Source organism: Homo sapiens, chromosome 3 (genome assembly GCF_000001405.40).
Source record: "Homo sapiens chromosome 3, GRCh38.p14 Primary Assembly".
NCBI lineage: Eukaryota > Metazoa > Chordata > Mammalia > Primates > Hominidae > Homo > Homo sapiens.
The window spans coordinates 52885840-52898450 of NC_000003.12; the positions used below are offsets into that span (position 1 = coordinate 52885840).

At 47.9% G+C, this 12611-nt stretch overlaps 2 protein-coding genes across 2 annotated transcripts in view, besides 1 other annotated feature; both read right to left on the bottom strand.

The window, feature by feature from the left end:
* Positions 1–11709, bottom strand: part of STIMATE-MUSTN1 (STIMATE-MUSTN1 readthrough) — a 64428-nt gene extending 52719 nt beyond the window's left edge. The window contains exon 1 of the mRNA NM_001198974.3: positions 11452–11709. Coding sequence (NP_001185903.2) covers positions 11452–11611 — 160 coding nt within the window. The 5' untranslated portion in view covers positions 11612–11709. The remainder of the gene's footprint in view (positions 1–11451) is intronic.
* STIMATE (STIM activating enhancer) overlaps positions 1–11709 on the bottom strand; it is a 60816-nt gene extending 49107 nt beyond the window's left edge. Inside the window, exon 1 of the mRNA NM_198563.5 lies at positions 11452–11709. Coding sequence (NP_940965.1) covers positions 11452–11611 — 160 coding nt within the window. The 5' untranslated portion in view covers positions 11612–11709. The remainder of the gene's footprint in view (positions 1–11451) is intronic.
* Positions 11262–11971: a silencer, noted in NCBI's record as "silent region_14454". NCBI's record gives its function as "represses an Ori minimal core promoter by ATAC-STARR-seq in GM12878 lymphoblastoid cells {active_cell/tissue: GM12878}" and the evidence as "EXISTENCE:reporter gene assay evidence [ECO:0000049][PMID:35858748]".

Consider the following 12611-nt stretch of genomic DNA (forward strand, 5'->3'; position numbering starts at 1 on the left):
AGGGCTCACCTCATTACTTCTTTTCCCTTAGGCTCACTGTCTTGATGCCTGCTGTCTGATATTTGCAAAGTTGCTTTATATATTTTGGCCTGTTTTCTGGTTGCTTACAGAAGATGGGCAAGTTCTATATCTGTTACTCCTTCATGGGCAAAAGCCTCCTCATCCTTTAGCACAGGCTCAAATGTTAAATTTATCCACACAGGAAAGATTCCTCTGGCTTCCAGGACAAGGCCCATGGACTCCAATCTCAAAATGAAAAGCCTTTGGCTTCTTCCCAGTCTGTCTATCATGCCTAGAAAAAACATTTCAGTGAGGCTCTCAGTCAAAAAAACCAAGCAGGTCAGGGACAGTGGGGACCAAATGGTGTTTAAGACCTCCACATGCAGAGGACAGGAACGTGCAGAGGTCAGCGAAGCAGCATTGTGTGTCAAGCAGCACATGTGTATGCTGCACATGGCAGCAGGCAAGCAGAATGGCAGGGGGTGCAAGGCCCCAGTCCTGCAGTGAGGCCCACTGGGTTTGAATTCCAGTTCTGCCACACAGTGATTGTCACATCCTTAGACAGGGGCCTTAACCTCTCAGTGCCTGTTTTCCCAGGTGTAAAGTAAGATGATATGAGTACTCATCTCATAGGGATAATATGAAAAGTAAATGAGTTGACATACGTGAAGCACTTACAAGACTTGACACGTAATGAGTACTCTACACATGTGACTCAGTTTCGTCACCAGAGAGTTACCAGATCAAAAACTGGCTGGAGGACCTTCACTCTGTATTTGTGGCTCCCTTCCAAATGGGGGAGGCTTTCCAAGAAAGACTGAAAACAGATCTTATATTTACATTGTTTCAAAATATCTCCCTGTAAATCAGTTATTAATTACAAAGGGAAAAATTGTAACTTCACAGTGAGAGAGCTGGAGGAGCAACCCTACCCCAGTTATCAATGAAACCTTCACCAACACTAGAATCAACTGACACCAGGCACCTCAGGTTATGATGCACTGAGTAGGCCATGGCATCACGTATGCAGGCAGCAGCCTGCCAAAAACATGTAACCTGAATGTAATCATGAGAAAATATCAGACAAACCCAATCTGGGACATTTTACAGAATCACTGGCCTATACTTCTCAAAAGTGTCAAGGCTAGGAAGGACAAAGAAAGGCCAAAGAACAATTCCAGACTAAAGGAGACTAAAGCAATGTGGCAATTAAATGTCAAGTGTGCCTCTGGACCAGGAGAAAAAAAAGCGATGACAGTATTCAGGCAATTGATGAAATGTGAACATGGACTGTGGATTGTTAATAACATATTAATGTTAAATTTCCTGAGTTTTGATCATTATACTGTGGTTACATAAAAGAACACCTGTGTCCTTAGAAAATGCATGCTGAAGTATTTAGTAGTTAGAAACGAAAATAATCCCAGCCTCCTTCCACCTCCCAAGATCTCACTGCTCAGCAGCAAACTTGGACTGGAGGAGCATTTCGCCATAGCATCTTCAGGTGGCACTGTGTGCCAGCACAGCCTGGCTGGTGGACCGGACCCAGGCACAGGCAGAGGCCTATTCTGTACCACACAGACTGGATGTTTGCGGCACAGGAAAAGCTGGCAAAAGGAAGATGGGGGCAGTAGGCTCAGGAGCCTGGCTGTCCTGCAAGACACAAGGATGCTGCCTTAGACCTACACTAAGAAGGACCACACATGGCACCACAGCAGCTACAGCCAATGAGAACAAGCACCAAGCAGCTTCCTGGTAGGGCTCAGCAGTTCACAAATGCTTTGAGACAGTGCCTCTCCTACCCACGACCTGCCTCCATGCCCTTATGCCTCATATCACCCCACACCAAACTTCATCCGTCACCACATCCACACTAGCCTGGCCTGAGGACCTCCGTGACTGGGAGAATGAGATTTCACTATAAAATGGCTGCATCCAGGATAAGGTCCTGTCCATAGCAGCAACATTCCAACCCAGCTCATGGTGACACTATGGCATGTGTGCTGGACATTTTCCTGAAGGTTTTTACCTATTTAGAATATTAGTAAATGATTTATTTAAACACACTGGGAAAAAATTCAATATGTAATCTGCTAAATGGATTAATAGGCAATTTAGCATCCCTGTTTGCTCTAACTTCATATAACAGAATCAGTTTTTTTTTTTTTTTTTTTTTTTTTTTGCCAGTAATTGATGGGGTTTCTCAAAGAAATCTGAAGGCAGAATAAAGCCAGGGCTCTTGACAGAAAAAAAACACTTGAATCTCCCTACACTATGTCTTTAGGACCGTAACACATGTCCCTCATCTCCAGCCTCTCACGTGCTTCTGAACCCCTTTTTTGCTCCAGGGCTTGGACTGAGGGTCAGGGCATAATGGAAGAGCAGACTTGTAACATACAACGGGCTGCCTCAGACACCCCCAAGGCAAAGCCCTGGCAAGTGAAGGGTAGCCAGGTCAGTAACATGCTTGCTTAAATGCGCTCTGAGCAAGCCTCCCCGACATAGTCCACTGCTCCCCATGCGAAGACTGGATGCACATAAACTGAGTGCAGAGAGCCCTGCTCGATGTAACCACCTGCAGATATTTTTGCCCAAAACTCTGTACCCAAATAGAAAGCTGCTCTAATGATCCGATGGTGCACACTGCACAGGGCTCTGGGTAAAAGGATGCGGCATGCACCGTGTGGCTGTGTTTCAACTATTCCTATAGGACAGTGTCTTATGCTCACGTCATTTAAATGCACTGTTACTACCTCATGCCTCTACGTCATTTCATACTATTAAATGAAGATGTCTTATAACAAAATGGAAAAGCCCACGAAGAACACAGATGAGCTGAAGAGGCCTGGAAAAGCCCATGGACTAGACAAAAGCTTGGCAGAGGAAGCATTTTAAGTAAGATGAATGTGTGAAAAAGCAGAGTTGGCCCTGTATGTGTCCTGACTTATTCTGCATACAAGAAATAAAGAAAAAGCATGAAAGTTGTTGATGCCCATCAATGGTTGGTGACTGGAAAAACCATGAATACACAACATCACGTCTTTAAAAGAAGTTTTAAAGCCAAGAAAAACACTGGTTGGGTATCCCCAGCCTCTCCCTCCTTCCTCGTGCCACCCCACCCAATGTCCACACCATGAAACCTGCCCTCAGTGGGCTGAGCTCACCAGCCTCTGCCTCCTCCTCCCCAAAATGGCTTGAGTGGAACCTGCTTATGGCACAAAATGGCCCTTAGAATGAAGAGGGCACACTAAACAAGATGCGGCAGGAGGGCATGTGATGCTCAGATGGGGCTGCAGTAAGTCAGCGGAGAAGGCTTCTCACAGGCACTAAGGCGACTTCGATGCATGACTATCCTGCCGTAGTAGGTACAGAATTTTTAGAATGTACCAACAACTGAACTTCTGTCAGAGATGTTCTATAGCAAAGCCCAACCCCTCCAAAGCCTGCAACCATGCTCAGTGGGCGACGGTGGTTCCCAGGGCTTGCCTAAGCTGGCGATCTGTGCCCACACCTCGAGAGCTGCATACAATCCAGGCTGAAAGTATCTCTACCTTCTCCACATCTGTGTGGACTATGGCAGACAATCCATAAAAGCTAGTTAACAATAAGGAGCGGCTTTGTTACTATCCAAATGGAAGGTCTGCACAACCACACTGCCTAGCTCTACCACTTACTGGCTGTGTGACTTTGAGTGGGTTACTTAATCTCTCTGCGACTCAATCTCCTCATCTATAAGACGGAGATACTATCAGTCCCTACTTCTCAGGCTGTGTGAGGACTAAATGCCCAAGCCTGGGTGAGCACGGCACGTCTGTCCACATCACTGTCTAGCTCAGAAGGCACTACCAAGAGGATGGGGGCCAGGCAGATACTGGGTCCCTGTTTCTTCTTCTGTAGTCCCAAAGATAAACAGTGTATGTTTCTCAGGGGCTGCCACATGAGATGTAAAACTGCTTTAAAAGAAAGGTTCTCAAGGAAATAATACAAATGGAGCATGCAGTACAGCAGACCCTGACTTGACACCCAATAATTTAACGCATCCTCTTTAAATGCACCCGTAAAAGAGGCCTGAAATGGAATAAGGAAGGCTCTCTGGAAAGCCTCTGAATACACTGCCTCTTTGTTCTGAGACCCTCTGCCTCTACCCTCTCCAGCGCTGGTCTCTTCTACGTGAACCTTTGCTCTTACCACCCCCTCCATGTCGAGAGCCCTTAGCCTGGTGCTCAGGTGGAGCTTCCTCAGGGACACTTCCTCGAGTCCCCAGGCGGAACCCCTCATTCCCCCTCTCCAGTGTGTTCAGGCTTCTACAATCCTCTTCACGCTATACTGGAATTGCCTGCCTGCCTTCCTACAGCCTGTTCCAGCTGTGAGCCCCTCAAGGACTGGGGACCAGTCTCAGCTCTTCGTCAAGGAAACATCCAATAGCGGGCTTGGCACCAAAGTACTTAAGAGATCCTGATAGTCCACTGTTCTTATACTTTGGAAACAACACACTGACCTTCTAATCTGTTCTTCTAGAGCAAATATGAGTTTGCTGAGAAATTCACAAACTGAACCGATGCAGTGGTTCTTAAATAGGGGCGATTTGGCCCCCCAGGGGGCAGTTGGCAATGTCGGGAGACATTTTTGGTTGTCACAATGAGAGATTCTACTGGCATTTAGTGGGTAGAGGCAGGCTGGGGATGCTGTTAAATGCCTTGCAATGCACAGGAGAGCCTCCCACAAGAAAGAATTATCTCATCCAAAGTACCAACAGTGCCAGGCTGAAAAACTCTGGATTCAATGGATAGCTTTCCTAGCAGTGGAGTAATCTAAAAGAGACTCACCAACTGCTTCTATGCATACACAAGGAAAAGGATAATTCTTCTGGGTAAACCTCAAGATTATTAATGACCTTCCTTATAGTCATATGGCAACCAACAGGGAAATGAACTCTGTGAAACTCAGCAGGTAACCTGAAGCCACCCAGAGCCCTGCAGACCCTTCCTCACCAGCGAGTAAAGGGACTCCGTGCTGCCTGCTTCTGCTGCTCTGGGGTAGGGCGGGGGTGCCTTCGCCTCAGATGCTAGACCTCAGCCTTGGGGTAGAATCACCACCCTCTGCCCAGGCAAGGAAAATCTTCACAAAGGCCCAGAAAAGCAGACCTAGCGTGTGACTCATGTAGGCATGAAATGATTGATGAGTCATTTCAAATTTATATTTTTAATGTTATCAACAGTCAAAAAACAATAATGCTTTAAATAAAATTAAATAAAAATAATTATCAAGAAAGAAAATCAGAATTGTTCAGATAGAAAAAAAATGAGGTGAAGTAGCCACAGATACGGAGTAATCAGAAAGTGAACCTGTGTGGAAAGAGGGGTGGAAAAAGCCGGCAGGCACAGAGGAAGTGGCTCAGGGTGTCTGGGGTCCCAGGGACCCGGCTTACATTTCAGTTCTGCACTTACTAACCAGGAGCCCTTGTACAAGGCACTTCACCTGCTCACCGACCGCTTCTGTACAGGGTTCCTGTGAGGGGGGTTGGCATGCTGGGAACTCAGTGAAGAGTAGGCTGCAGAAAAGAGGCCGGCTCCAGGGGCCAGCGCCACCACCTACTACCATGGGCCCTGGGCAAAGAAAAGCCAGCGACTTGAAGCAGGTTCATCACCTGGAAGTGGGGCAGCCCCAGGCACCCACTGCCCTCTCTCTCAGAGCCCACATGAGGGCCCTGCCGGTAAAAACACAAGAAAGATTAGGTCAAGGAAGATTATTTTGGCCACGAAAGCCACCTTGTTTTGGCGCATGCTAATCTGGATTCACACTCACTGTGCTGGCTGGGCTAAAGGTGCTTTTCTTTCTTTCTTTTTTTTTTCACTGCCATGCACTCTGTGAAGAGGGCTAAAGGTAAAGACATTGTACAAACAAGAAAGAAAGGGGAATGTTTAACCTAATTCAGAAAATAAGTTACTTAAGCACTTGTGAAACATTTTTCAGCCCAACTCATGAATACAATGTAATAACAAGGATGAAGACACACCCCCAAGGAGGGCCTAACATGTGCCTGACACCAACCCAGCTTCCTCAAACACATTCTTTCTCATCTCCATAGCCCCAGAAAAGACAGATTATTACCACATGTTACTGGGGAGAAAACTGAAGCTTTGAGAAATGCAGAAGTTGCTCAGGGGCACCACATGGCAGAGCGAAGCAGACATGGATGCTGGGTCAGGCTGGATCCAGAGCCAGGGATCCTGTTATTTTTAACCACTTGTAAAACCCCTTCAACAAATCTTCATGTTTGTGCAAATATACTAACTGCAAAAGACTTTAAACAGATATTAAAGCAGCAGAAGCATGAGAGGCCCCAACAGGGCAACATGTGGCCAACAGAGGTATTCAAAAGTTTAAAAAAAATGCATTTGGTAAGTTATTCTACAACTCAGATTGTCCCCTAATTCAGACAACTTCCTGTTGTCCTGATTTTATTCGAAATTAATGAAGTTACATGATAAATCAAGCAGCAGATTGCCATTATGGATAAATGCTACCAAATAAATAAACATTTAGAAAACCTGAAAACTTTCTAAAAATGAAAGCTCTGAGCCAGCCAGTATGCTAACATTGGCCACAACACCAGCTTGGCATGAAAAAAGGGGCGTTCTTCCTTTGCCCATGCTGGCACTCCAGAAGGAGGAAAGGACAGCGACACTGATTGAGTTTGTGCTGGGTTCCAGACCCAAAGACAGGCGCCTTCACTCGTGAGCTCCAGCTCCAATTCAGCTGTCACTGTATTCTGTTATTTTACCAGGAGGAGGTGATCACTGGGTGAAAGGCTACTGGGAAACAGAGTATTCACATGATCTCAAAGTATTATCACTGCAGAGATCCCTTATTAATTGCCCAGGGGAAGATGTACCTTTACGAGGGAGAGACTGAGAGGTCTTCCATCCACCATCACCAAGTCATCAACCTTATTAACACTAATAGTGGGGCAGCGTGATGTCACATGCCTCCTGGTGGAATGTACATGAAACATACAGCGCCGCTTATGGCGTGTTCTTGCCATAAAACTGGGTATCTGAATCTAATAACTGCTCCAGACCAAACTCAGGAAAACAGGGGCCAGTGAAACAATTCAAACACCACAAGGAAACACCCAGACAACTCCAGAATGTGGGGCACTCCACACAACAAGCAGCCAGAACTCTTCAAAAAGCCAGAAACATTGAAAAAAAAAAAAAAGTGTGCATGTATGTGTAGGAGGAGGTTCTTCTAGAAACGAAAGTGACTGAAAACGTAACCAGACACAACGTGTGGACCTTGATTGGATCTTAGCTTTTAAAAACTCCAGCTATAAAAGACTTGTGACATTTGGGGAAATGTGACTATGGACTGGATATGAGATGATATCATGGAGTTATTATTAATTCTCTTAAGTATGATGATGAAATTGTGGTTATGTGGGAGATTGTCCTTATTTTGGGGAGACTTAGCTGAAGTATTTAGCAGTAAAGTGTGATGCTGGTCACAATTTACCTTCAAATGGCTCAGCCAAAAAAAAAAAAGCATAAAGAGGTAAAGCAAATGTGACAAAATGTGAACAACTGCTAAATCTAGGTAGAGGGCAGACAGATGTTCAGTGTATTATTTTTCATGTTTTCTACGTTTGACATTTTTAGAGATAAAAACCAGGATGGGGTGGGGAGAGGTGATCGTAGGGAAGGTTGTGCCAACACAAGCCTGTTCACACAGAGCACACAGGGAGGCCGGTTTACCACGGAGAAAACCCCAGAAACTCTCATTTAAGATATCAAAGCTGAGTGGACTGGTTTGTGATTTTTACTTTGGATTGCAGGAAAAAAGTTATCACTTCTCAATGTTAGCAGTGTTTTTGTAAAACATGGACACATTTCTCCCAGCTGGCTAGGCCCCATGTCTATAACAAAAATAGGCAGGCAGATTTATCCAAGCTCTCAAAATGCTTGTTTTATTAAAAACCAATTCTGTCTACACTTCAGCCCAGAACCCTGACTGTGCACGGTGAGGGAGGCTTGAGTTTGCTTTGCATTCACATGTCCTGAGAGCAAACACCCCCAAATGCCAACACACACACTGGCCAACACGACCTTTGGCTGACAGCTGGTTGGCTACCCTGCACTGGAACAGTTTGCTGAGCTCTAGGACTGCTTAGCTCTGTTCTGCTGAGACCCTAGCTGAGCAACTTTGTCAAGTCACAGACTATAGACAAAACCACCAAAACGAGGAATTGCTTAAAACCACCAAAACGAGGAATTGCTTGGCAAAGCCCCCTCGTTTAAAGCGTTTCTTTCTATGCAGATACCTAGCAGACACTTCAGAAAACTCTAAGTGGAAAGTATCTTCATAAGCTTGTCTCTGAGTATGTTCATCTTTCCTTGCGTACACAGGGTACCTTAGCTGGAGCCTCTAGGAAGCCCGCCAACTCAACAAGGCAGTGCTGACACTGGGACATGTGTGTGGGTGGTGCCTGTAACAGTCTGCATGTTTATGCAGCTTGAATAATGGGCTACCATGTATGACCTGGCATATACATTCTCAACTGCCTGGACCAAGAGGGTCTATAAACCCTACATAGTAAGGCAAGAAGTCTATCAAAGCACCAGAATGAGAAATTCTTGCAGAACCAGAATCCTCCCCAGAGACATTAATATATATAAGTAATCTTCCTTCAGGACAAACCTCTCCAGATTAAAAACAAAGAAACAAACAAACAAAAACAAGGCAACGTGTAAGTGGAGAAAAAAGTGATTTTTCTGGATAGAAAAAGGAACATAAAGACAGTGGTCTGAGGGGTCACTGAAATCAGGGAGGTGAAGTAAGGAAAACTACCTCACAGCTTGTCTGCAGAGAAATGGGTTCATTCTACAGTCAGAGCTGGTCCAACAGGAAACAATAGTGTTGGCCATCAGGACTGGGGAAGCGTTCCAGAAGACAGGCAGTGAGCCCATTGCCTCGAGGGCCACGGGTACTCAGAAGGGAAAAGACTGTGATCTCAAAAACAGCCCCTCAAAGGACAACGGCTGTTTAAACTGCTCAGAACAGACTGGTTGGTATTTAAAATGTTTGAAGATAACAGAACTGAGGAAGGATGGAGTGGCCTCACCTTAACACACACTAAGACTTCCCTCCCTCAGGGCTGCGAGGGGGACCCTCGTCAGGGGAGCCTGGCCTTCAACAGATGCCCCTCCTGGCAGCTCCGCCAGACTGAGAAGGACGGAGGACTAATAGCCCAGGACAAAGCCAAATGGCTCGCAGATGTACTTCCTTAAGGCTACCTTGATCTCGTTCCTCTTCCACCTTAGAGATTTCTTCCTCTTCCCAGTAGTTCAAGAAGGAAAAGCCTCGCAGTTCTATTTCAACAGGACCAAGAAATCTGAGAGATAAGAAGGGCCCCACCCTGACTGCATCCCAGTCAGTGGGCTTCTTCTTGTCCAGCTCCCAGAGTACCATTGCCCTGGCCTGCTCTGTCTGCTTCTAGGTAGGGGGAGGAGGCTCTTGCTCTCACCTCCATTTCTGTGTCAGGGCAGACATAGCTCTAGCCTTTCCAGCTCTTCTCCCCATCACTCCTACCCACATCACCCCAGGACCCACCAGCCATTTCCACAAGCTCCGTCCACGTCAAGCCTCACAGTGAACAAGAGACTGCTTTCTAGTTCAATCTCTGCACACAGAAAGTACCAACCACAGTGGGATTTGCACATGTGCTCACGCTGAAGATTAAGTAAAGAAGTGAATATGTCCCTGAAGACTCCACTCAGAACACATTCAACCCGATACACTTCTCAGCTGTGAGCAACTCTGCCCTGTCATCATCACATTTCCTTCTCTGAATCACAAGTGTCAAACCCTAGGGGACAAGCCGGGCCATCAGCATCAATCAAACCTATGGAAACAGCCAGAGCTAGGCTAAGAAACCTCAGGTTAGGGAGCAAAAGAAAAATTTAACCTACACTTCCTTCAGAGAGAAAGGAAGGCTGTCTGGAGGACAGAGAAGTAGGAGGGGTATGAAGATCCACTCACCATGTCTTGAAAACACACACGTACAGTACATGCGCCCAAGTCAGCAGCGGATTTTGGCTAAGTTGTCACAAATTATTACTGTGGGAACAAGTGGGTATTTGTTTAGCAGAGAAAAAGCAAGGCAAGTTGGGACTAAAAAGGAAAGAAAAAGTGGCAAACATAGACAGTTGGGCACTTATAAGACTTATCAAGGACAGGCCACCAGAAGAACGCGGTATCCATGATCAGAGCCTCTTCAGGGTTACTTAAAGCCTGAGAGAATTCACTCAAAGAAACCCCAAGTTATAAACAAGCAAGGTGGCCACTCCAGCAACTGGACCCCACAAGACAAAGGCACACAGCTGCAAGATCCCTCCTGAGTACCCCAAAGCATACTTTCTGCAGGAACTCTCCACTCTGTCCACACAAGCACAGTGGGGAAGTTTTGAGAACAAGTCATTTTTGGAATTAATGACTCTGCACAGATAGTTATAACCTTTCCTTCCCCCTAAAACGCAGTCACAAGGGCACTCCTAGGCTTACATGTCGAGCAAAACTTCTTGTTACTTTAATAAGGGAAGGATGCACACGATGAAAAACAGAAGCCCCCCCCCACCCCCCATCAGCACACATGAGAACAGGGTGGGGGCTTCCTTCTCTATTCAGCCACTAAGGTGCCCAAGTTTAATGGAAAAGGAAACTTAAAATATAAAGAATAAAAGTGGAAAGGGAACAGCCAGGGGAAGCTATAGATGCGGCTTATTAGGAAAGCTTGGGACAGAGATGGAACAGGTGGGCCTGTTCCGGAAGAAACGAGAGGAAGGGGATCTGGGGAAGAAGGCAGACTGGGTGGGTCCTACCCTGACAAAAGGGAAACTAAAGCTGAGGAAGAAGGGCCACGGAGAGGGAGGCGGGTACTGGGAAACGGAAGGCATGGCCCTAACACTCCAGGTGTTGAGAGGGATGCAAAGTAGCAGGATTTAAATGTGAACGGAGAAGGCAGATCCTTGAAGAGTGAAGGGGCAGAAAAGAGCTCAGCATCGCACTGGGGATTGAGGGATGTGGGTTCTAAGCACGAAGAGCCCCTGAGAAGGGGCGGACAAGGGGATGTCACCCTTGGGGGTCATGATTCCAGGCTGGGAAGTGGGGTAACAATTCGAGATGGTAAGGTGGGAGGTAGGCGAGTTTTAGACTGGCGTCTCAAAAGACAGACGTTTAAGGTGGAAAGGGGAAGGGTCACTCCTGTCTGGAGGCCACAGCGAGTAGGTGAGGGGCTCGGGCTACCCCTAGTGCAGGAATACCCAGCCTGGGTTTGCGGGGGAGGAGCAATTCGGGTCCCAAGGCCTGAACTCTCCGCGCAGGAGGGGCCCCCAGGGGGGCCGGGCCGCGGCTGCCGCGCAGGGCCTCCGGAGGGTCGGGGGGTCCCAGACTCACGCATTAACGTGCTGAAGGCCACGACGCCGAGCAGCCCCTGCAGGAAGATGCCGAAGCTGTGCATGAGCGCGCCGCTCTCGCAGCGGCCCGCCCCGGACGCGACTGTGGAGGGCGGCCCGCCTGGCAGTCCCCGGCTCGCGTTCCCGGCGGGGCCCTGCATGACAGGCCTCGCGGGAGGGGCGCGAGGGCCCAGGGCCCGCCCGGCCTCGCTGCCTGCCGGCGCAGCGCCGCCAAACCCGCAGCCGGGATCCCAAGCCTGAGCCGGTACCTCCGCCCGGCCGCCGACTCCGCGCCGCGCGTAACCCGACGTCTGAGATCGCAGTGCCTGATTGGCGCAGCCAAGGTTGGGGCGGGCCTCGGCCGCGGCAGCTCTCCCCACCCGCCCCCGAGGGGCGGGGCTCCGGCCGGGCCACGGGGCGGGGTCGCGGGTCCCGCTCCCCTCTCCAACCCCGCCACGCCCGCAGGTAGACAGGCCAGGTGAGCCGGCCACCGCAGACCGGAATGAGAGCCTGGGAATCACGAGCTCCAGGTCCGGAGGTAGGAGCTGGGACGGCCTGTGGTCAAATTATTTTTCCCTCTAAGGAAAATCCCTATATCCTGGAGAAATTATCATCATTCCTGAATTCCACCCTCAGAGATCGTGATTCAGTAGTTCTGGGGTGGGTCCCAATAGTTTGCAGCCTGGATTATTCTGAAGCAAGTGAATAAGGAAAACAATCTGAGACTGAGTACAGGAGTCTTCCCTCCAACCCAGACATTTGAGTCTTTTTCCTACTTCCCTAGCTAAAGGCTTATCAAGGCCCCAAGTCTATTTTCTTTTTTCATAGACATAATTTAAATGGTCACCTGAATCCAATCACTTTCATTTGGAAATATACCAGGTTTCACACTGAAAACCTGACGTGCACATGTCCCACCTTATTCACTTGGGGAGCACAACTACCTTTAGAGTGTAAAAGACAAATGGTTGGTATTTTCCAGGCTCCAACATCCCCCTGCACACACACACTCCCATCTAACCCTTTCCAACTTCTCAGAACCTGTGCTCTGCCTTTAACAAGACCCTGAGTCCCCATTCTCTCACCCATTCTCCCAGCCCAATCTGGGCTCTCTCTGGATACCTTCTTGTTGGTGCTCTAGAGCCGCTGACCTTCCTGCTG